General features: G+C 40.7%; 1 protein-coding gene and 1 long non-coding RNA gene across 6 annotated transcripts in view; one reads left to right on the top strand and one right to left on the bottom strand.

Annotated features, from left to right (window-relative positions):
• OPCML (opioid binding protein/cell adhesion molecule like) overlaps window positions 1-25,513 on the top strand; it is a 1,117,521-nt gene that overhangs the window by 547,378 nt on the left and 544,630 nt on the right. The gene's annotated exons all lie outside the window — the stretch shown is intronic.
• On the bottom strand, window positions 1,966-25,100 carry LOC105369580 (uncharacterized). 2 transcript variants are annotated; one of them, XR_948205.3, is made up of 4 exons: window positions 24,951-25,100; window positions 7,135-7,254; window positions 5,376-5,451; window positions 1,966-2,047 (listed from the first exon to the last, which is right to left on the bottom strand). It is a non-coding gene; the product is annotated as an uncharacterized LOC105369580 (long non-coding RNA). The 2 variants fall into 2 exon arrangements; XR_948206.3 differs by lacking the exon at window positions 24,951-25,100 and adding an exon at window positions 12,076-12,156.

The raw sequence follows: 25,513 nt of genomic DNA, 5'->3' as shown, positions 1-25,513 counted from the left end.
GGTGTCTTGGCTAGGGAAGTTGCAGTGGAACTATGAGAATGAAAGCCAGATTATGTGTGCTGAAGAGTAAATGGAAGGTGCTGAATTCATGCTGGGTAGATGAGAGTAAATAAACAGCCTTCTTAATGTGATGGAAGGAGCAGGTGTTCTACGGGGGAACAAAGGACAGGAGGGTAGAGAAATACTTGGTGGTTTGGCTGAGCCTGTGAGCGAATTTGTTAATCATGGATACACCACGCGTAACTCCAGGGAAGCAGAGGAAGCGGGCGGCAGGGTGAACAGAACACTACTGGGGTGAAAATGCGAGACAGTGCAGGTCACTGAAAGTTCTCAGGATTCTTACTGTAAATAGATAGTGTCTTCAAGCTGTTGCTGGTGGTCTCTGAAGCTTGCAGATGTTCACTGTCTGGGGTCCAATCAGCAGTCAGTGGTCTTTGGTTAGAGTTCTAAGAAAGATGCTGGTGTGAGGTTGGGAGGAAGTACACATAGCGATGGAAAATACTGGACAAGGTTCTGGGACCATCAGAGTTACAGCTGTGGCTGCCAGGCAGCTTGGACTAGTTAACATTTTAAGCCCTGTTTTCCTTTTATACTTACGAAAAGGGAAAATAATGATTAACAATATCTATTACTAAATATTGCAAGGATAAAAAAGAGAATAAATATTGCAATACTTTGTAAAATTTATTAGTATGTCTTATTCAGTGTGCCAGATAGTAAGTGCTAATCCTTATTTCCCCAAGGTCCCAGTACTGAGGAATATATAACATATTGATTGCCATTATATTGTAAGTACTTAATAAATATTTGTGAAATTCATCTTAAATGAATAATTATCGAGTAGTTATAAGGACTCTAAGAAAATAATAAGTGTTCAATACAGCTTAGCTATAATTGTAAGTTGTCTTATGTCTCAGCAGACCTAAGCCTTGGGTTTAGATGGTGGCATAGCATACTGGATCCGGGTCAATGAAATAGTCACTAAGCTTTCTGGCCTTGGGAAAGATCACCTGCAGGGTCAACCTAAAGCCCATTGGAAGCAGATGCTTTCCTGAATTTCACTCTTCTGTAAAACTTAGTTCTAGTAGTAGAGGTAGAATTATGAGACCTCTATCACAATGTGGCCCTCCAGGAACCTTCTGAGGAATCCAGACAATAGTAAACTCAATGGATTAGAACCTGACAAAGTGGCTGGCACAAAGTAGTACTTACTAAGAAGGAAATTACTTAGTGCCTTCTTTAATCTCTTTCTTTGTTTTTCTTCACTTTTACCAGTAGAATGTTAATAGGCCATTAACATAATTGGCTTTGCCTCAGAAGAACACATAGCCATATGTGGGCAAGATGTGCTGATATTTTTATTTTAAAAATGTAGATGTGTGTGGTGCTTTGTGGAGTACTCCGTATAAATAAATAACTTTCCTGGATGATATGGGAGACAGGGAAGAAGCAATAGCAGACATCAGCCTTGCTCTCAAAGTGCTTGAGCTACTCCATTATGTTTGGGGATGAAGTGATAGAAAAATGAGATGTGATCTCGGTTCTCCAGGAGCTTACCCAGTAAATAAGACAGGACCATAGACAGTGCACAAAGCAGCATGAGCAGCGAGAACAACATGCATGCAGTGCTCTGGGTGGTCACTCACCAGTCCCAGCAGCGAGTCAGGGCTGCGCCTTTCTTCTTGCACTGCTGGTACCTGATGCAGTGTTGACACAGGAAAAAAAAATGAAATATTTATTGCTTGAGTAACTGAGAGGCTTTTATTAAAGTGAGAACTTGATGGAGTTGGCACCAGGCCTGGACCAATCCCAGAGGCATTTACCCAGCATTGCACTTGGGTGCTGGCTTGGGCTGTGTTTTTCTCCCAAACTGTGATGCTATGAGAGTCTTCGCTGACCTGCTTGGGAAAGGTCACCGGGCCATGGCTTTAGCAGAGATTTTGATGTAGAGAGATGCTGGGGTGACTGCCTCTTGAAAAGCAACCTTGCAAGCTGGAGGGGGGCTGTTTTCCCTGTGGTGGTGGAAGACCAAGCATAGCACCAGCAGCTGTTCAGAGACAGGAAAGGCAGCTTCATTCAAAAAGCCATCATAATTTGGCAAGGAGTGTTCCAATCAGTAGCCTTCCTAAGGCATGTAATTGTTATGCAAATAAGCCACAGCACATTACCCAGGCTGGGAACAGGAGTATCAACTCTGTGATTTACAAGGGGCCAAGCCACCCAAGAAAGCTCTGGCATGCATCCCACGCTGGGGGCTCAGTGGAGCTGTCTTGGTGCTGGGCTCATAGAGAGAGCTGGCTTATTAAAGTTGACCAGTGGAGTGAGGCTGATTGTTTAAAAAGTGAAAATATCCGAGTTTAATAAGATGATCAAGGTCTGGATTTTGATTTTCTGCCTGCAAATATCAGTAACAGAATATTACAGCTGAACACGGTTTTAGAGATGACCACATATCCAAACTGCTTATATTTCAGAGGAGGAACCAAGGTGAAGGGTGAAGTGACTTATCCAAAGAACCCAGCTCCCCTTGCCTCCAAGTTCAGGGTCATTTGATGTCAAACCCAGCTGTCTCTTAAGCTAGTGTAGCTACAACTTTTTTTTTTTTTTTTGCTCTAAGCCTTTTATTGTCTCCTTTTTTACTTTCTTGTCTTGTCCAACGAATTCCTATTGTGAAGGAATTATGAAGATTTCTGGACACCTAAAGAGCCTTATTTATTTTCAGGAGGGTGCAGTCTGATATTATAGATGAGACAAACACCCAAGGAACTGCAGTATAAGCGTTAAGGAGGGAGAGAAAGGTAGAGGTGTTCAAAGGAGAGAGGGATCACACACATTTGGGATAAATGGAAGAACTTCATAGAGTAGATGATATTTAAAATGAGCTTTAAAAATCCTAACAGAGATAAGGAGAGGAGAAAGAAGCAGGGGCTTGTGGGAATATTAGCAGCAAAGGCAGAAGAAAATGGGGCTTGCACTAGGAACAAGAGTAGCCGAATTGGTCTGGAGATTGGGGAAATCTTAGTAGAGCAGATGTAAAAAGCTTAAGGGCCCGTATTCGAGCCGTAGAATCCAGGACAAGGCTCGGCAGAACATTATGCATTGGAAAGAGTTCTGGGTTTAGAACCCAAAGGCCTGCTTCTGCATCTTAGTTTCACAAATGTTTGGATATGTGACGGACACAAATACGTTAAACCTGTAAACCTTCATTTTTCTCCTTACAAGGTCATTGTAGAGATCAAATATGATGAAAATGTGAAACGCCTAACACAGAACCTGGCAAGTAAAAATGAGTTTCCATTTGTTTCTTCATTCTGTTGGTTTGGAAACTTCAGCTGACTCAGCTATCATAGTTTCCTGTCAATTCTTATTTGGTGATGTCATTGATTTTTACGTTTAACCCTTTTTCTAAAATAAGCTGAGTCTAAGATCACCATGTGAGCCAAGATGGCATCCATCGCTGTCTTTTTGTTTCCCCCTGTAATATCTCTCCTCTAGTCATTCTTACGTGTAATCGTCAGATTAATTTTCCTTGAACACCTCTTCAGCCAATAGTCAACTGCTAATGTTTATAAACGTGCGGTGGTTCCTGTGTGAGCTCATTGTATCAAATTCACATTCCTCCCTCAGGCCCTTTCCCGCCAGTGCCCGTTATCCCTCAGTGTTCTCCCAAAACCTCCTCTCAGGCTTTCCAGTAGCTTCCACAGCCTCCCCCTCCATCGACAAATCCCAACAGAACTCCGCCTTCAGGACCCAGTGCTGCCTGCAGAGTGGGCCCCTGTCACCTTGGACTTTGCTCTAACCACCACGTGGCCTTATCTACAGAAACCACATCCTAATCATCTCACTACATCTTATCTGTCTTGTTGCTGCTATGGGGCTGAAAGTGTTCTAAAATGATTGTCTTTTTCCATTTCTTCTGTATCCTGCCTGGTGCCTAGCACTGTGCAGGCATAAGATAAATGCCCAATACAACCATGCACTGCGTAACGACGTTTGGATCAATGATGAACTGTGTATGTGATGTGGGTCCCACAAGATTAGAATACCATATTTTACTGTGTTTAGATAGGCTTAGAGGCAGAAATACTTACCATTGTATTACACCTGCCTGCAGTATTCAGTATAGTAACATGCTGTTGCAGGTTTATAGCCTATAGGTTTGTGTAAGTGCTCTCTGATGTTTGCACAATGACAGGATTGCCTAATGGCGCATTTCTTAGAATGAATCCCTGTCATTAAGTGACACGGGACTGTATGTGCTGTGAAATAAGTCACCGTACACCTCGAAATTCACAGCGGACTTTCCTTTTTGCCCACAGGGAAATAGTTAATTGAAGGGAAACCCTTGGGCCCGTTGTTCTAGTTCCAAATGGACTTTGAGGCTGTGCCATTTACCAAATTATCTCTTGTCTATGAACTGAGCAGAGATGGCCCGGAAACCACCGAGGGAGAATGGAGATGGAAACGTACATCCTTGTTTTTAGTGTCAATTTTCTGACTGCATAACACACTTAAAAATTAAATTTGCTAAAGGCACTTCAAGTGCATTCCTTGCTAACACTTCATTACAAGGCACTTATCAGTAATAAATCCACAGGGCCTATGTTTTTTAAGAAAATAAGAAATACTTAGAACAAATACAGAAACCTTGCTTTCTTCCCACTTCCTATTTTAGTTCTAGGGGAAACAAATAATTTCTAGTTGAATGGATTAAAGATGTCAGACTGTTGTTAATATAGTACTTTCATAATAACAAAATGCCAAACTTAAATTCTTCTTTCAGAGATTTAATATAAACTGGCAACTAAGAAAGTAAGGGGAATATTTTGCTGATATTGTACATCTACTTATTATCCAAGAAGGATCTCTCTCTGGCTTTCTTTTTTCATAGTTCTAGCTAGAGGTTACTGAGACCTCAGGAAATACCCCATCTACTCATAGAGCTATGCTTTATTCAGCATCCATCTCATCTTCCTTTGTCCCTTCATCAAGTTGGTGAATATACATTTGCCATCCGTATTTCTTTTATCTCTTATTCACATTTTGAGGCACTATAGTGTGGCTTCTGCTCTCTCTACTCAACTAAAACTAATTTCCTTAAGGGCAATAACCTCTCTCTAACATCTAGACTCAAGATTCAGCACTTAACTTTTATCTTACTCAGCCTCTTTATGATATTTGACCAAATGGCTCAATATTTTGCTTCAACACTCTTCACCCTTTCATTCTGAATAGTCAGGCTTCCTCCTGCCTTTATAATCCCCCTGCCTTCTTCTCCATCAGCATCCCTTCCTTCTCAGTCTCTTACAAGCTGCTCTCCCAGCAAATTCTCCTGGTTAAACCCTCCCTCTCCCAGGGCCTCAACTGTTACTTACGTTCTGAAGACCACCAAGTCTACTTTCCCAGCTTCACATTTTTCTTGAGTGTTGAGATGTTAAGCAACATTTTGTTCTAGTAGAAATAACAATAAATGCATTAATTTGTAAACACATAAACAAAAACCCAGTATGCTAGATGGCAACATGCTCTAGAAAAATCGGGCTGGGGAGGAGGGAAGAGACCGTGGGAGGGTTGTGGAGAGGAGGTCTCACTGAGAGAACACTGGAGCAAAAACCTCTCGGCAGAGGCCATCCTGTGGATGTTTGGAGAAAGAGCCTTTTAAGAATATGTGGCTGCCACTTCATATGCCATAGGCAGGAGTGTGAGCAGGCTGTCTAAGGAACAAGGAACTGTGGCTAGAATGGACTTGTGGGAGAGGAGGAGAGGTCAGACAGGGATGAGGAGCCACGTCACACGAGGCTCTGTACTCTGAGTGAAAGGGGGCCAGGGGAGGGCTCAGGACAGAGGAGTGACATGAACAGACTTGCTTTAAACAGCTGTTCCTCCTGCTGTTGTGAGAATCTATTGCATGGCAGAAAGTGCGGAGTGATCCGGGTGTGAGACAGAGGTGGTTTAGAGCAGGTTGAAATGGATGGAGGGAGAAGGCATGGGATTCCGAATGTGTTTTGATGGCACATCTGGCAGTGGTTGTTGATGGGCCGGGTATGAGATATGAGAGGGTGGAAAGAGTCAAGGCTGATTCCAAAGTTTTTGTTCTGAATAAATGAAAAGAAGAAGTTGACATTTGTTGCGATGTGAAACATGTGGGGGCTGTGAGTTGGGAACGGGATGACATGAGGAGTTGGGGTTTGCACATGTTCAATTTTAGATGCCTACTAAAAATTCAAGTGGAGAGGGTAACTGAGCAGATGAATATTCAATTCTGGAATTCGGAGAAAGAGATGTGTATACGTGTGTGTATGTCTGTGTGTGCGTGTATATACACATGTATAATCTACACATTATACATATGCAAATGTATTTGAGTCATTAGCATAGCAATTATATTTAAAGCCATAAGAGTAGATGAGGTCTCCAAGGGGGAACATGGAGACAGAGGAGGACAGAGATCCAAAGACTGACCCCTGTTCCCTCACCCTGGATATTTCCTTGGTTATAAAGCCTTGCCATCTGAATCCTAGAAATATCCTTTATTCGTAGCTTCTGCAGAGCCACACCTTGCAGACCCCCGGGGTAGCCATTCACATGAGTGGTTTAAAGGGAACCCCTCTGGGACAAAAAGACAGTATGAGTATCACTTCTTTTGGAATGATGCTAGTCCTGCTTCCAGCTGGATGAGATTCAGCTCCTGTCATTTTAAGGCTTTTCAGCGGAGAAGATACCTTGATTGGCCTCCCTGCTACCAAACTCTTCTCTCCACTGTGACATCAGGGGGACTATGTTAAACCAAAATCTGATCACACCATTCCTTTCTTAAAAACCCATGTGACTTCTCACTTCTTAGAGGTTAAAAGTCAAATAATTTTAAAGGCTTCCCAAGCTTGGTCCAAACGATTTTCCTACCTTTTATCTCCTACCTCAGCACCCACTGGTCATCAACTACTTGTGTTTCTTTGTATCACCTGTGCTGTGAAGGTGATGTCCCTGTCTGCCACTATCAGACAGAGGTCCTATTTAGCCCGCCGGCATCCGGTATTTATTTCTGCCTCCACCAGTTTCTCAACACCATTCCTCCATTCTTTTTGTTTTGTTGGAAACTTCCCAAGTCCACAAACCATTTTCAGCAGCTCTTACATTTTCCACAGGACTTCCGTGTCTCCTCTGGCCCATTTCTGCTCTTCATTCTGTATCCAATCCTGATGTTCTCCAGGGACTGTGCAGATCTTATCTCTCCAATGAGATCATAAACTCCTTCTGGGCAAAAAAAGTAAATAAAAAAATAAAACCACACATTTTTTGTCCTATTCTCCATAGCATTAAGCAGTGTAGAGCCATTTTAATAAATACTTTTTGGAATTGAATTAAATACATTGAACCTGCTCCCTACTTTAGCAAGTTTGTAGATCAGGTGGGTCACCGAAGACTCCTATATGCACTCTATATAATTCTGTCTGCCAGCTGTGGCTGGGTACAGTAACTCCCAGGGCTCCCAAATATCTCTTCTTTATACAATTCAAGGACCAGATGACAGGGGTTCTGCCAAAGTGTATTTATAAGAATATGAAAAAAATATGGCCACATGAGCCACATGAGTGAATGCGTGGCTGCATTTACAGTGAGTGTGATACACATTTTCTTGTGATTTTGTGACTGCGATATGAGTAGATAGCTATCTATGAGCTAAATCTAGAGGGAAGCTGGCCCAGTTCCAGATTCTGGGTATTTTGGGATATTATTTAGTTGTTATTGACACAGTTGAGAATCAGCTGAGAGATCCAGCAGAGAGAGAGAGGTAGACCTTCCTTAGGAGCCCAGGGCAGGGGAACAAAGCAGCTGTGAATAGCTTAGCAATCAGGGCCTCCTATTTTGAATAAGTGTTTTCAACAAGCAAAAAAACAAAGCTCTTCATAAACAAAAATATCTAATATCCATTGAACCTGACAAATGACAAAACACTTTCACATGTATTATTTTATGAGACATACCAACTACCTTGCAAATAGACATTGAAAAGAGATGATGATCCCACTTCTATAAATGAGAGAATTAAGCTCTCAGATGTGGAGAAAGTAACCCAGTGTCGTGCAGGCAGGGAGCAGAGGAAAGTATGTGGGACAAGGGTCTTCACAGTCAACATCTAGTGCTTTCTGCTATGCGTTAACATTGTCCCCAAGACAATGAAAATTTCAAAAAGCTCCCTATGGCTTCATCTAAATTTTCTGCCCCTTCTCTAATCTCTTTTGAAATAAGGAATTCCGTGGAGACACTATCACTCATTCACATATTTGGCAGCCAAATAAGAACACTGTTTTCTTTTTCCTTGAATTTTAAAAGGTAATTTAATAAATAAATGAAAAACAAACCGAGAAGAGTAGCTGAACTAGGGCTTATGTTTCTAATAAAATTATAAATGCCAGAAAGTACTAGGAGTGATTTATTATCCTGTTATTATAAGTGACTGGGAAGCTTTCAATGGAGTCCTTGCTAATTTCTAGCAGCTGCATTAAATCAGAAACTCTATTAGCTATTATAAAATCATCATCCCATTTTTCTGCAAATCAACTTGAACACCTGATGGGAGCTTGGAACTGGTTGCGGCTATACATGCTAACCTCATCCTTGGCCTCCACAAGGGAAATAAACACGAGTCACAGGTGGCATGATACTGGTCACATCAACTGTTAGAGATTCATAAATGGCTGCCTGTTTTTTATAGGAGATCTTTCTGATGCGAAAACAAATAGCTTCTTTCAGCAAATACCACTTCATTAAGAGAACAGGAACTGAGATAGCATCAAGTCCTGTGTTCTGAATTTTAACCCCTCCCCCCACCTCATTCGATCCAGCTTTCCACCCTGGTCCAGCAGCTGTCCACCCTTCGTAAGAACAGAACAAATAACTAACTACAGACAAATCTTCTGGAAATTGCTGGCATTTCTACCCTTTATTCTGATTTTCACAATAAAATACACCTCCAACGATCCACTCTATCATGACCAGATAAGTAACACCTTATGTTGGACAAGGAAGAAGAGTCAAAAGCAGATATCAGTAAATCTTTGAAACGAGCTTTAGTCTTATGTTTCAAGAGATAGCTAGGCCGAGGTGGGCGGATCACAAGGTCAGGAGATCGAGACCATCCTGGCTAACATGGTGAAACCCCGTCTCTACTAAAAATACAAAAAATTAGCCGGGCATGGTGGCGGGCACCTGTAGTCCCAGCTACTTGGGAGGCTGAGGCAGGAGAATGGTGTGAACCCGGGAGGTGGAGGTTGCAGTGAGCCAAGATCACACCACTGCACTCCAGCCTGGGAGACAGAGCGAGACTCCATCTCAAAACAAAAAAGAAGACAGGAGAAGGTACTATCTAGAAGATATGCCTACTATGTGGACAGATCTTGGCATAGGGGATGCAGAGTGCAAAAAAGAAAGCCAGCTGCTGATGATAGGAAATGACTAAGTAGGAAGAATAAAGTAGAATTTCCAGAAAAATAGATTTTACAGGACTTAGTAAGAGGTTGGATGTGAAAAGTGTGCTTGTTTTTTTTTTTTTTTTTTTTTTTTTTTTTTTTTTTTTTTTTTTTTTTTTTTTTTGCTTGAAACCTGGATGGGACATCCAGGCTGGAGAAGTTGGGTAAATTAAGGGAATCTGAAAAGTTATTTTTTATGCTGAGTTTATGCACCCATATACTCATATTATATGCTTCTTCCTCATTGCCTTTCTACTTGCTATTTTCTCTGCCTGGCATTTTTTCCTCCAAAACTTTGCATGGTTCATTTGATGAAATGTCACTTCATCAGAGAGGACTTCCATAGCCATACAACTGAAAACAAAACTTCCATCATTTGTTATTCTTTTATCTGCTTTATTTTTCTTCAGGATACTTACCACTTCCTATCATTACATTATATTTGTTATATTTTCTTTCTTTCTTATTTATTATCCTACTGCAATCTTAAGTTTCATGTCAATATAGACTTGGTCTATATTGTTCACATCTGTATAATCAGCACCTATAGTGGCATCAAGGTAGGTGCGCAGTAACTGTGGAGAGAAAGAATGAATGAGTTCCAGAAAAGATACTAAAATAGCAGGTGGATATATATGTACAGAGCTCCAGACTTAAGAGACTGATTAGTGAATTATTAGCTTATAGGTAATAATTGAAGCTATAGACTCTGGAGAAAGTATAGAGTAAACAGACGAGAGGGCCTTAAACAGAGCCTTGAAGAACCCCAACATTCAGAATCCAAGCAGAAGAAGGTAATCTTGCAATGAAAACAAAGAGAAAACAGGCTTAGGGCTAGGAGAAAATCAAAGGACAATAGTGTTTGAAGGAAGAGAAAGTGTTGAAGGATACAGAGAAGTCTCGAGAAGTTGAAGGTTTAAGAATACCCATTGGATAGTGCTGCAATAAACATACATGTGCATGTGCCTTTATGGTAGAATGATTTATAATCCTGGTGTATACCCAATAATGGGATTTCTGGGTCAAGTGGTATTTCTGGTTCTAGATCCTTGAGGAACTGCCACACTGTCTTCCACAATGGTTGAACTAATTTACACTCCCACCAACAGTGTAAAAGCGTTCCTATTTTTCCACATCCTCTCCAGCATCTGTTGTTTCCTGACTTTTTAATGATCGCCATTCTAACTGGCATGAGATGGTATCTCATTGTGGTTTTGATTTGCATTTCTCTGATGACCAGTGATGATGAGCTTTTTCGGTGACCATAGGAAGAACTTTGGTAGAGTGGCGAGTTAAAGGCTGTATTGGTATGCAAAGTGTGATGGGGAGATGAGAAATGGAAGCGAACATTTTGGAAAACTCTTTGAGATACTTGGCTGAAGTGAGGAGGAAACTAATAGAGAGGTAGCTGGAAGATGAAGGACCAAGTTAAAAAGTTAATTTAGTTTATGTTGTCATATATTTCAAATAGAAAGGGTAAACTTGATATAGTGAGGCTGAAATATAATAAAGGCAAGAAATGCTTATTAGAGTAATTTTCCTGAGACATCAAGATGGGATAAAACCCAAAGCATGGCCAGAGACATGAGTGATTATGCGAGGAGGGACAGCTTCTCCATAGCAGCTGGAGGGAAAGAAGACCCACGTGTAGATAGGTCTGTGTGCTTGGTAAGGGGCAGGCTAGACCAGATCCACTCCGTGCTTTCTCTATGCTTGGTAAGGGGTAGGCTAGGCCAGATCCACTCCGTGCTTTCTCTATGCTTGGTAAGGGGTAGGCTAGGCCAGATCCACTCCGTGCTTTCTTTATTGCTCTTAAGTAGAAGATGATCATCTGCCGAGAGCAAAGGGGAGATGAGTGGGGACTCAGGGGAATGAGAAGATTGGAGAAGGTTTGGAAAAGTCATTGTGGAAAGTAGATGTATGAAGTGACCAAAGATTAGCTGGAAAATTGTAGAATAAGGCTGAAGGGTCTTTGCCTTTGGTGAGCATGAGTTTATTAAGTAATCAGTCAACTTTGTTGTGTCCTTAACTGTGCTTGACTTCTCAGCTGTAGACTCAGAGAAAACAGAAAGCTGAGTTCACCCAGGCTTGGAATTTGATGACAAGTTTGTGACAAAAAGATTATTGAGCAAAGAAGTCTAAGGTGTTGGAGCAATTATAATAACAAACCATGAAATCCAAGCTGGTTTAGAAGGAAACTGAAGAAAGTAGAAACCTTTTGAATTGAGTTAAAGTACAGGAGTCAATGGCCAGGAAGTTGCAAAATGGTCAAAGATGCATCATGGTGGGAATAATTGGAGAAGCAAGCTGACGAAAGAGGGATTGTGGTATAAGCATGGGATGTCTGAATAAGTGATTTTGGAGGTGGAAGGGAACAATTATATTTTGTGACAATACCCACTTGCACAGAGCCTCATCATAAGCTCCATAAAATCCCTTAGAAGGAGGAGAAGGAGGACATTTGTCTTAAAATCTAGGCCAGGATGGAGCCAGAAATTGAGGATGAAGAGACCTCATTGATGAGGAGAAAAAGGTTGTCAAGTCAGGGTCTGGCACTAGCACAAAAGTTGATTAAAAACAAACAAACAACACAAAACTGTCATACTTGCTGACACTCTTTGGTGCAGGGAGATAGCTGGAGGCTCAGTACCAGGTATGGGCTGTGTGAGGCTCTTCTCAGACCTGTGTACACTCAGGCTTCCTAACATGGAGTTCCAGGTGCCAGACAGACCTAGGTGGTGCTTTTTTCCATCAACAACATTATGAACCAACAGCAATCAACTTCTGGTCTGTGGAATGAGTACAGCCAGCCTCTCAGGGCCTCAAGCAGAGGGAGCAGGGGGCTGCGGTTTCCCATGAAGATCACAGAACTCACTGAGAACAAGGAAGGGCCTGTTCCCAGTTCTGTTTTTGTTCAGCAGCAAACAGAGCCACTTGTCAGGCTGACGGTCCTTGCGCATTGCTACTGTGGCAATAGTCTGAAAGAGGGTAGAGGGAAATGGAGGAAAGAGACATTAAAAGGAAAATGTCACCATTTCCAAATGCCATATTATTTGACAGTTTCTCTTTATGTTGCAACAGCTGCTTAACATGACAAACGATGGCTTTAATAAAAACGCACACGAAGAGATGCAGCACCAGAAAATGAATAATGGGGCTTTCCATCCTGACATGTTGTGGAGCATATTCACTCAGCAATGAATATGACCTTGGTAACTGTGTGTTGCCTGTTGCTTTCAGACAACCCCTGCCAGGTGGATGGCCCTCATGCCAGTCAGGTTGCAGTTGCTGTAAGCCCAGAATACACCGCAACTTGTTTTAGCAGAGAGGTGTTTAGTGTGGGACATTAAATGGCTTGCCCAGTCATCAAGAGGGTAGACAAAACAGGTTGAATTTTTAGAAAATCACACCGCAGGACTGGGGCCACCAAGACTTCCTGTTTTACAACGAAGAAGCTGCCATCTCTCCCAGTCAGAGCCACCCAAAATCAGGAAGACATTATTATCAGGAAACTGCAGCCTCTGGGAAGCTGCCTGGACCAGGAAGCCACTCTATGTCTGCCTGTGTGACCAGCACCAACAAGAATGCCCCATCCCTGTCTCTGAGTACCTGGGATGGCAAGTATTTAGGCCCTTGGATTCCTGTTAATGGTTCTGCTGTAAAAGCAAATGACTCCACATTGATGCTTGCCAAGAGGATAACGGCAGCAGCAGTAGCAGCAGGGTGGTTAATGTACAAGTAATTGAAGTACAATAAGTTACATACAAGGTGTCAGGCTAGATTGGGGCCAGTAGGGTCTAGTGGTTTTAGGGCCCACATATCTAGATTTGGGAGTAGATAATAAAGCCAGTATTGGTGTGGTTTGGAGGCGGGAGGGAAAGAGAGTAAAGAAGAGGGTGGGAAAGGTGACAGTGTAATGACCAAACAGCCTGCCCTCAGCCCCAGGACTGCAGACAGAGCCTCCCTGGAATTTTGATAATCATGTGTCTTCACACTTCACTTACTGTCTTGTCACCTCTGTACAGCTGCATAAGGAGAAGAAAGCTCTTTGCCATTGAAAGTTTTACAAAGAGGCCATTCCAAGTCACTGATCAGAGCTAGATGTATCAAGTCAAGAAAAGCTATAGTGCAAAGCACATCAATGCTGGAGAAGAATCAAGAATGGGGTGGGGCTGAACGCACGGGCTTAGCTGGAATGATATAAAGAAAGGCTGTGTTTGCAGGGAGCTTGAAGACTCGCGCATGTCCCTGATAAAGTCATGAAAATCTGTTGTTCATTTTAGCATGTTAGAAACATGCTCATTACTTAGTGGAAAGCAAAAATCAATAGAAGAAAAGTGGCACAGCAAACTGTATGAAAGCCATTGGGAAATTTTAGTCAATATTTACTGATCACCTACTATGTGCAAGCTATTATAAAGAACAAAATAATATTTTGTCTGTGTAGTCAAGGAATTAAGGCCTTCATCAATCTTGTCAGAGCCCTCAGCTAGAGGAATTTTGAAAGATGTTGTTTTTCAGCTTGCCTTCTTTCTCAACAGCTAGAAAAAAGGCTTCTTTGTGACAGTCGGTCACTGTGTATGAAAAGGTTAAAGTCCTTTTAGTACTGTGCTATAAGGGATTGAGAGAGAAATGAAGACTCTGCCACTGTAGCCAAGGAGATGATGGTCTACCTGAGGAGCTAGAACACCAGGAAAACAATGCACAGTTTAATTGGCAAGAACCTAATAGAATAGAGAACATAAGGTAGGGAATTTCTAATTGCCAAAGAAAAGATCAATGAAGTAAATTCTATAGTAACTAAGAGAAATTTAAGATAACTTCAGCTATGAGTACTACAGGAGGCTTTTCTAGAGGAAGGTAAGATTTAAGCTGTTTAGAAGAAAAGACAGAACTGGCCCTGACAGAAAGGAAAAGTAAGATTATCATGAGTAGGAGAAGCAACATAGGCCAAAATGTATATATGGAGACAGTGAGTTACATTTGACTGAAATGAGGGTTTATGTGACATTTATGGAAAAATGACTTTATTAAAAATAAATTTTTCATAGCTGGAAAAAAAGTAAAGTTTTATTATAAAGATCCATGAATGCCACAATAAATAATTTTAAATATACTCTGTAGGCACTGATAATACTGAGATTCCAAAGGAGATCAGCCTGGTATGTGCAAAATCAAGTAAATATGATTCTGGAGTTCTCAAAAACTGTTATAATAGGTTGATCTTCTTTTAAATTAAGGAAAAGCTGGGGTTTTTTTGTCCTAATATTTCTCTCCTTTGCATTTTTATTTGTATGATTCTCCATATTCAAACACACCCTTCCCAAAAGGGTAATTAGACTTGAGGTAAAACTTCTCTGAGTATAAATAAAATATTTCGTATGTGCCTATATAATTCTTTGAGGATTTTCAAACAGTAAAATGAATTTAAAAGTGAAAAACATGTATTTTGAAAACACATAATGAAGCATGTGAAAGAGGAGGGGCCTCGATGCACTTGGCTCCTCTAAGGTAGAAGGTGAGGGGGCACCATGACCTGGAAACCATGAAGAGGGAGATGGATGAGTCACTAAACAAACAAGCAAACAAGAGAGCCAGGAGGGTCAGTGTCCGGAGTTGCTGAAATGTGTTATATAAAATATTCAGATTTCAACAAAAAATTATGAGACACGAAAAGAATCAGGAAAGTGTGACTTTTCAGAAGAAAAAAATACAGCAACAGAAACTGCCTGTGAGAGGCCACAGATGTCAGATTTAACAAAGACTTCAAACAGACATAATAAATATATTTAAAAAACTAAAGGGAATAATGCTTAATGAAATAATGTAAAGGTATCATGACAATGCTTTATCAATTAGAGAATATTGATAAGACGTAATTGAGCCCCAAAAGAAGCAAATGGTAAATTCTGTATTTGAAAAATATAACCTAAGTTTAAAAAAATTATGAGAGGGGCTCAGTAATAAACTTCAACTAGCAAAAGAATCAATGAACTTAAATATGTATTGATGGAAAGTACGCAATCAGAAAAACAGAGAAAAAAGTGTGAAGAAAAGTGAACAGAGCCACAAGGGCATATGGAACACCACTAAGTACAACAATTTAAACACAGTTGCAGGGGGGGTCCCAGAACAAGAGGAGAGAAAGAAGAAATATTTAAAGTTGAGAATTTCAAAAACTTGATAGAAAAATTGACCTACACATCTAATAAACTTAACAAACTCCAAGCAGGATAAATGTGAAAACATCCACACCCATAAGCATCATAGGGAAAAGGTTGAAAGACAAAAACAAAGAAAATGTTGGAAGCAGCAAGAGAAAACTAACTTATCACATACAAGGACTCTCCAACAATATTAACAGAGGACATTTCGTTAGAAACAATGGTGGAGACTATAAGGCAGTAGAATGACATATTTAAAATGGTATTTTTAAAAGAGTCAATCAAAAATAGTTTACCAAGCAAAACTAACGTTAAAAAATGAAGGTAATGCAATGGCATAAGAATGACACAATGGACTTTGGAGACTCAGGGGGAAGGGTGGGAGGGGGGTGAGGGGTAAAAGACTACCAATTTGGTTGAGTGTATAGCGCTCTGGTGATGGTAACCAGATACCACCTGTTTCCAAAAACCTATGGAAATAAAGAATAAAATAAAACCAGGAATTTAAAAAAATGAAGGTGAAAACTAGAAGCTTTTCCACTAAGATGAGAAACAAGGCAAGGATGTCCTCTCTCACCACTCCTTTTAAACATTGTACTAGAAGTCCAAGACAAGAAAAGGGAAGAAAAGCATATTAATAGGGAAGGAGGAAGTAAATCTGTTTGCTGATGACATGATAGTCCATATGCTGATGACACGATAGTCCATATACAAAATCTGAAAGAATCAACAACAACAAAAAAATTCCTGGAACTAATAAGCAATCATAGCAAGATTGCAAGATAAAAGATTAATGATATGCTTAAAATATTTGTCCTCTCCCAAACTCATGCTGAAATGTAATCGCCAATGTGGCAGGATTGAGAGGTGGGGACTTTAAGAGGTGATTGGGTTATGATGGCTCTGCTCTCATGAATAGACTAATTCATTCATGGCTTCATGGATTAATGGGTTATCATAGGGGTGGTACTGGTAGCTTTATAACAAGAGGAAGAAAAAAGACAAAAAAAAGATTTGAAGCTGAGAATTTCAAGGAGGAAGAGAGATCCAAGCGAGCATGCTCAGGCCCCTTTCCATTGGATGCCCTGCCATACCTCAGGACTCCACAGAGGCCCCACCAGCAAGAAGGCTCTCACTAAGTGTAGCTCTTAACCTTGGACTTTCCAGCCTCCAGAACTGTAAGAAATGTTTTGTTTCTAAAAATAAATTATCCAGTTTTAAATATTTCATTATAGCAACAGAAAAACAGACTAAGAGAGTAAACATGCTAAATTTAACCACTCTCCCATATACCAGTAATGAGCAAGTGGAGTTTGAAATTAAAAGCACAATATTATTTACATCAGCACCCACCAAAATAAAATACTTAACTAGAAACCTAACAAAATATGTACAAGATAAATGTGTCGATATATATTTGTCAAATCCACGGAATGTACAACACCAAAGGTGAACCCTAATGAAAATTACAAACTGTAGGTGACAATAATGTATCAGTATAGGTTCAGCAATTGTAACAGATGAGGGAAGCTCTTCATATGTGCCTTCGTTTCAAGTTTGTTGTGAACCTAAACATGCTCTGAAGACATTAATTCCTTAATTTAAAAAAAATGAAGGTGAAATAAAGACATTTCTAGGTAAACAAAAACTGTGAGAAACCTTGCTTGCAGACCACCTTACAAGAAATACTGCAGCATAGTCTTGAGGCTGAAAGAAAGGGACTCTAGAGAGTAATTTAAATTGATACAAAAAAGCAAATATTACTGATAAAAGTAATTATGCGATTATAAAAGGCAGTATAAATGCCTATTCCTTCTTTCTTAATTGATTTAAGAAAACAATTGTAGAAAGCAATGTGTACATAATTGTATTGTTGTGCTTATAATATATAGAAATGTAATTTATCTGACAATAACAACAGTAAAAGTGGTGGGTGGGTGCCAACTTTTATTAGAGTAATGAAATAACACCAGATGGTAACTTGATTCCACAGGGTCAAATAAAGAAAACAAGAAATGGCAAATAAGATGGTTAATACCATCAACTCTATAAATAGATACTTGTTTTCCTTTCTTTTCTCAGCTTCTGTAAAAGTCATATAATTAATTAAATAGTAGCTTATAAAAATGCACTATTGGTTTGTAACAATACAGTTGTAATATGTATAAGAAACAAAATGTGGGAAAAGGGCATAAAGCTATATAGAAATAATATTTCTATGTCTCACTGGCATTAAGTAAGTATAAATCTGAAGTAGATTCTGATAAGTTAAGACATATACAGTAAGTCCTAGAGCAATCACTAATAAAATATCTCAATAAAATAGAGTGAAAAAGTATTAATATTAAAGAGATTAAAATGTTGCATATAATATGAAGAAAGCAGCAAACGACAAACAGAGGAACAAAAAAGGCATGTGACACGTAGTAAACAAAAAAGTAAATCTAAGTACATCACTAGTAACATTAAATGTGACTAGATTAAACAATCAAAAGGCAGAGATTGTTAGACTTGATAAAAATGATAAAATCCAACTACATACTATCTATGGGAGACATGTTAGATACAAATAGGTTGAACTTTAAAAAATAAAAATATATATTCCATGCAAACAGGAATTAAAAAGCTGGAGTGGCTATTTCACAAAATATATTTTAAAACAACAAAATTTACTGCAGATTGAAGGACATTTTACTATGATAAAAGGGTCAATCCATCAGGAATATACAAAAATTATAAACATAAGTACAACAAATCACAGAGCCCCAAAATATACCAAGCAAATATTGATTTAAAAGAAGAGGGAAATAACCAATTCAACAATAATAATTGAGGATTTTAGTACTTCATTCTTAATAATATATATGAAACTAGGCAGATGATACAGGGAAATAGAAGATAAGAACACCATTATGAACCAACTATAACCAAAAGACATCTATGAAGCACTCCATTCAACCACAGCAGAATATACATTATTTTCAAGTACATATGGAGCATTCTCCAGAATACAGCAGATGCTTGGCCATAAAACAGGAATTCATAAACTTTAAATGATTGAAATAATGGAAAGTATGGTATATGACTTGATCAAAATCATACAGTGTAGTATCTGACTATACTAAACCTAAAATAGAAATAAATAACAAAAAATTGAGAAATTTAAAAAAATGGAAATTAACACACTCAAATACCAATGATCAAAGAAAAACAATCACAAGGGTAATTAGAAAATATTTTGAAACGTATGAAACTAAAGACACAACATAGCGAAACATACAAAACACAGTTAAAGCATTGCTTAAAGATACATTTTTAGGTGCAAACACCTATATTTAAAAAGAGAAAAATTTTCAAATCAATAATCTAACTTTCCACCTCAAAAAATGGGAAAAAAATAGAAAACTAAAGCTAAAGGAGAAAAAGAAAATAATAAAGATAGGTGGAAATTAATAAATAATAAAAATAGTAAAGAAAATAAATGAAACTACAAATTGATTCTTTGAAAATATCAACAAAATTGACAAACCTTTGGCTAGTCTGAACATGAAAAGAAAGAAAAGATGCAAATTACTAAAATTAGAAATAAAAGAAGGGACATTATTAATGACCTTACAGAAATAAGAATAATAATAAAACACTATCAACAGTTGTGTGCTGGCTAGGCTCAATGGCTCATGCCTGTAATCCCAGCACTTTGGGAGGCCAAGGCAGATCCATCACAAGGTTCAGAGGTGGAGACCATCCTGGCCAACATAGTGAAACCCCCTCTCTACTAAAAAGACAAAAATTAGCTGGGCGTGGTGGCCCTTGCATGGAGTCCTAGCTACTCAGGAGGCTGAGGCAGGAGAATCGCTTGAACTCAGGAGGCAGAAATTGCAGTGAGCCAAGATCACACCACTGCACTCCAGCCTGGCAAGAGAGCGAGACTGTCTCAAAAAGAAAACAAACAAACAAAAAACAACAAACAACAACAACAACGACAAAAATATGTGCCAATAAATTAGATAACTTAGATGAAATAGCTAAATTCCCAGAAATTCACAACTACTAACATTGACTCTAGAGGAAATAGAAACTGTAAATAGGCAAGAGGTTTAATTAGTAATTTAAACATCTCCCCCCGACACAAAACAGCCTAAGACCAAATGGCTTCACTGGTGATTTCTATCAAACATTTGAAGAAGAATTAACACTAATTTTTACAAGCTCTTTTCCACCTCCTCCCCCCAAAAAAGAGAGAGAGAGAGAAATGGAAGAAGTGGGAACACTTCGGTACTTATTTCCAGATGAGGAAGATGAGGCTGGCGAGGACGAATAAACTTCCCTAGGTTGCACAGCTTACAAGCGATAGGGTGAAGATCTGAACTCTGCTTATCTAATTATTTTCCTACTCTGTGTCACCCATGTAGTGAGAGATACAGAAAAGTGTAGAAAATGGTTACTATCTCCAAAGACACAAACTGTCTAATTAGACACATAAGAATAACATCTCTGAGGAAACAAGATGCAAAATACAGTGTGTTGCAATATAAGGAATGCAGAGATTTGAAGTAAATGACCTAGGTCTGAATCCACCAGTCTCTGCTTGATGGCTCTGGGCAACTCACATAAACTTTCTGAGCCTCAGTTTTCCCATTTTCAAAATTGGCGTATAACAGCTTCCTCTCTGGCCTTCATAAAGGAACGATAGAATCTACATAGCAGGTAGTAGTATTACCCACTATTCCATGTCAAAATGTGTCATCCACATGTGCCTGCTGAGGGGATCAGAGGACCCTGGTGCCAACTGTAAGGTCACGGAGGAGTGGACGTTTGGCAGAGCCTTGCATGGTAGCGACTGGGCAGGAGGAAGCGGTAGGATGTAACAGGGAGGACTGGTGAGCAGGTTTGTAGGTTGAGAAGGAACAAATGGCTTTCTTAACAAACGTTTCTAGACATTTTATGTACTCTCTCATGCAATCACTTCCTAGCCAAGTAGGGCTGTTATCATCCTCATTTTTCAGGTGAGAAAACTAAGGCTCACACAGGTTATGGCATATGTCTTCAGTTCTTATAGTTACTCAGGGGTGGAATCAGGATTTGAACCCACATCTGAAGGATTGATCGCAAAGTCCAAACTCTTACCATAATGTCATGCTAACATCTGTTACATAACAACATCTGCTGTGAAAAGCAGTATCATGAAGACTGCACACCAGGCTTGTAACTGGAGATTCTCTCTTCTGCTTCAAATAATATTCCCATGTGTTTTTGTAGTCAACACGATTCAGACACTGCACTGAAACGATTCTTCTCTTTTACTTATATATCCTTCTTCTCTCATTTCCTTTGTCATTCCCTCTGCACCTTCAGGTGTTTCCTGGACTGTGACTTTCCTCTCAACAGCACCATTAGGTGTGTCTTGCCCTCTGGGTTCAGCACAGAAGGATTTCTCTGCCAGCCTCCAGAGGCTTCCCTCCTGCACACAATGGCTGCTTGCAGAGTGGGCACAAGCCTGACCTGCCGTATACATTCACTCACCTGAACTGATATCGAATGAGGAAGTGAGTAAATTCAATTCCAAGTGTGTAACTACAGAAGGGTTCAAGATGCAGCTGGTGGCCCTGAAATCTTAGGTGCCCGACCCTAACGTGCAGCTAGGATATAGGTAGAATGAGGACAGAGACAATGTTCGAATGTAGAATAATAATAAAAAAAAGTAAGACCAGCAACAATTAATAATAATAATAATAATATCGTAATACGGATAGGAAGAAGAGCTAATATTTGCTGACAACCTAGACCCTGGCATTCTCTGCTCCCTCACTTTTCTCTTCCTCTATATAAGAATGGTGAAGGAAGTGGAAGCAGGAAGGACATTCTCACCGCAAGAGCCACAGTTTTTTTTTTTTTTTTTGAGACCCAGTCTTGCTCTGTCACTAGGCTGGAGTGCAGTGGCACGATCTTGGCTCACTGCAACCTCCGCCTCCTGGGTTCAAGCGATTCTCCTGCCTCAGCCTCCTGAGTAGCTGGGATTACAGGAGTGCTCCACCACACCTGGCTAATTTTTTGTATTTTTTAGTCGAGACGGGGTTTCACCATATTGGCCAGGCTGGTCTTAGACTCCTGACCTCGTGATCCGCCCACCTCGAACTCCCAAAGTGCTGGGATTACAGGCGTGAGCCACCGTGCCCAGCCCACCTGTCAGTATTTGAAGACAATTTGTGGTGTAGTGATTGTTGTGTTCAAGGAAATCTTCAAGCAGAACCTGAGGGCCATGAGTTGGGAATTGCACATGGGAGATGTTAGCGTTAACACACATTACAAAAATGATATCGGAGGCCCTTTCCAGGTCCTAAAGTCTATGACACGGTGATTTTCAAGTAACCTGAAGCCCACCCTGCAAGCATCTGGGGTTCTAGTGGTGGGGTGGATAATGACATGCCAGTTTCCCGTGTTGGAGCCCAGGGGTGGTCACGTCAGGCTTCACGGCTGCAGGTCCCCATTCAGAGATTCCTCTATGCGTGTCAAGCAGGCCTCCTGCTCTGTCTGGCAGAGAAAACAGTCTCTGTTTTGTCTTCTTATCTACTGGGGGAAGGCAGGCTGGTGGGGATGAAGTGCTTCTGAGGTTGGAGATGCTGAAGCAAAAAGCTAAGTTGGAGAGCTCCTGGTGTAAAGTAAATATTGTACGAAAAACAGCAAAGACTGAAAACCCAAATGCGGTGAAGTGCCTGCCCGTGAATGGATCAAAATAGTGCCTCCCACAACCTTTGTCACAGCCTTCTTTCCCAGAGGAGGGCTCCAAGGTGGGGATGGTACAGAGTAGAGCCAAGGCTGGGGTCGGTGGGAAACATGGTTTTAAACACAGACTTGTCCATTCGGGGAGTGTGTTTGAAGAAATAAATGACATGTCTTTAACTGGGTGCCCCCTCTGTGACAAATATGAGAATAATAGCAGGGTTTTCCTTTGGTCCACAATTTCTGTTCTCTCACGCGACAGTCTAGACTTAAAAATCTTTTCCTCAAGCTCTGAGTAGAAATCACTGACTAGGCAAACTGATGATGCACAGGCAAAATTAGTCTGTTTACCATGTGGGAGCTTGCTAATTGCAAACGAATGTGAGTTCCCAGGCACACTCTTGGTCTGCAGATGCTGTCTTCATCATGATGGGGGAGGGTGAGCAGGCAGAGAGAGCCCGGGCCGGGATTGGCTGAGATAATTGGGCTGGTTTCTGTGCTGTGCTTTCCCCTTGCTCAGTTTTCTTCCTGAGATGATTCATCAAGAAGCCTCCTTGGCCCTCTGTTGTACAGTGTTACAAGCATCCAGTTAAAACAAACGCCAGGATGAAAATGGACCTCCTACGGAAAAGTGTCACACTCATTCATTTAGCAAACATGCACTGAGCACGGCCTCTTTGCCAAGCATTGTGCTTGGTACTGAGAATAAAGAAAGACCTCAGTGCAGTAGCAAAGAGAAAGTGTCCTGGACTCAACTAGGTCAAATGTATTGTAACAAGATTACAGTACGGAGGATAGAATTCTGAGGGCATCCAGAAGACAGAGGGAGTGCTTTTGCAGAGGAAACTGGAAGACTGCCCAGGGAAGGTAATTTCTGAGCCTGACCTTAGAGGCAAGACTTGTAATTTGGCTGGCAGAGGAAGACCTTTCATATGGCAGAAGCAACAGGAGCTAATGCAGAGAGAGATGGAAATGTCAATATTTTCCTAGAAAGGCCAGTGGTCCAGCAATGGCCAGGGATCTGTAGGCTATTAACATCTGAAAGAGGCTTTGCAAATCATCAGTCAAAGGGGCTCATCGTACAGATGAGGAAACCAAAGGCCACAGAGCTGACCTAACTTCTGCAAAGTCTGAAACCATGATTTTTTCAGTTGCTTAGCCCGGCCCTGTGGGCCTATTTATATTTACCATTCTTCACACATATTTAGGTAATAGAATTACATCTCACATCAGTGTGCTCGGCACTGACTTTTCTTCTCCTTGCTACATCTACGAATAGCATCGCTTGACTCTTCCACCTTAAATGTGTCCATCATCCTCCCCATCATTGAAGCTATCTATCAAATATGGAACCAGAACGGCCATGTCAGACACTCTATACACTATTTGTTTATATCTTGGGCTCTTTAGAGCTACATATATCTTTGTGCTGCTTATCCTTAAAATGTACTTTTTTTTAAAATTTAAGACGTAGAAATCTTAGAATCCATTCTTCTACGGCATCAATGTGCTTAGAAACATCGTGTTTCAAAGCTGAAAAGACACTGGGATGCAGCTCAGCTCAGGGTGCTGCTCACATGTCTGTGTCAGTGTCTATATCTCCAGGAAAACTATTTTTGGGACTCCCTGCCCAGCACTATTTATTAGTTTTCCGTTAATTACGATGAGGATGCCGAGGGTTATTTCTGACAGACCCTTGCTACTTGAAGAAGAAAGTCACTCATGCCCTTTTTCGGAATCCGGCAGCTTTGCTCTAGATGGAGGCTGCTAGATTCAGCAGGAAGGGGCAGGGTGTTGTTCATCGCCGCACCTGCTGCTTCTCCCCTCAGCCCCGCTGTGTCCTCAGCATCACTGCAGCCTCACCCCAGTTACAAGGTTGTCCAGCTGCAGACCCAGTCTCCAGTATTCTCTTCGGGGCCCCAGTAACATGGGTTGATTGCATACACAAAGATGTCAGACCAAATCACCACGTCTGGGAATTGTCGGTAAAACAGTGTGTGGAATGAAATGCGCACATTGCCAAAGGGTGGGGGAGATTCGAAAGCAGGATATCTTGACAGAGAGAGAAAAGTGTTGGAATTAATTCATAAACGTGTCGGATGGAAATTAGCAGCTGAAGATTTGCAAAGGGAGAAGAGACAGAGGGAGAGAGAAAAGGGAAGACAGACAGATGGAGAGGGGGAGGGAGATGGTGGAAAATAGAGCAGAAGAGGCAGCTTTATTTCGCAGCCCTGCTTTACTCTCCACTGAAGCAGCCTGTGCTTTTGCAGGGATCCTGCCTTGCCTCCGGTTTCTGTTCCCCTGTTGACCTCCACCATCCGCAGTCCCCGCTCCTGGCCTCGCCCCAACCTCCTGCTTCCACCACAACAGTTGTGCTTTTTACACACGTGGGATTCCCAGTTTGTTCAGAACGGGATTCTCTCTGTACTAAGCACAGCAAACTTCCCATGTGACCGTGGTAAGAAGGGAAGGACTGGGGCTTTCGAGGGACATCTTGACTCTTGATATTCTAATCTTATCTTGGGCCTCAGTTTTCTACACGTAAAGTTACGGTTATTGGGCCGGCTAAATGAGATTATGCACGTAAGTCACTTACCTTAGAACTGGATATGCTGCGTGCACGCAGTACATTGTTTACTATTGTTATTAACGGTGGCAGTAGTAGGAGTAGTAAATTTTAAATTCTGTCTCTGGTGTTTTAAACCTCCTAGTTCAATCTTTGTGGTCAAGGTCAAGAGGTTCAAGCAGCCTGTTTAAGCTCAATTTTAGAGCCAAACATGTTTCCCAGATTCCGTTTCTTAATGGAAGGTTGGAGTTTTGCCCCGTAACAGTGAGTGTTTTGGACGGTGTTCCATTTTGGAACATAATACAGGCAATCACCCAGTTTCATTTTGAAAGAACAATTGAGATTACTATGTGTGAGATGAGACAGATTTGGGTTGTTTTCCTCCTCAGGCTGCTATGTTAGCAGGGTGTGTCCTGAAGTATTCTCTCTTTCCAATTTCCTTTCTGCCTTCCAGATTTAAGGTGCCACTTCTAAATCTGAGCCTGTGTATAGTAGTATTGTATTGTGTGTAGATCCTGATATTTTCCCGAAGTCAATGTAGGTAAATGGAAACGCTGTGAACCACTAGGATGCTTACAGAGCTATTTTTGGCC

Source organism: Homo sapiens, chromosome 11 (genome assembly GCF_000001405.40).
Source record: "Homo sapiens chromosome 11, GRCh38.p14 Primary Assembly".
NCBI lineage: Eukaryota > Metazoa > Chordata > Mammalia > Primates > Hominidae > Homo > Homo sapiens.
Note: the sequence above shows the minus strand (reverse complement) of the source record. Positions and strands in the feature narration are given on the sequence as shown.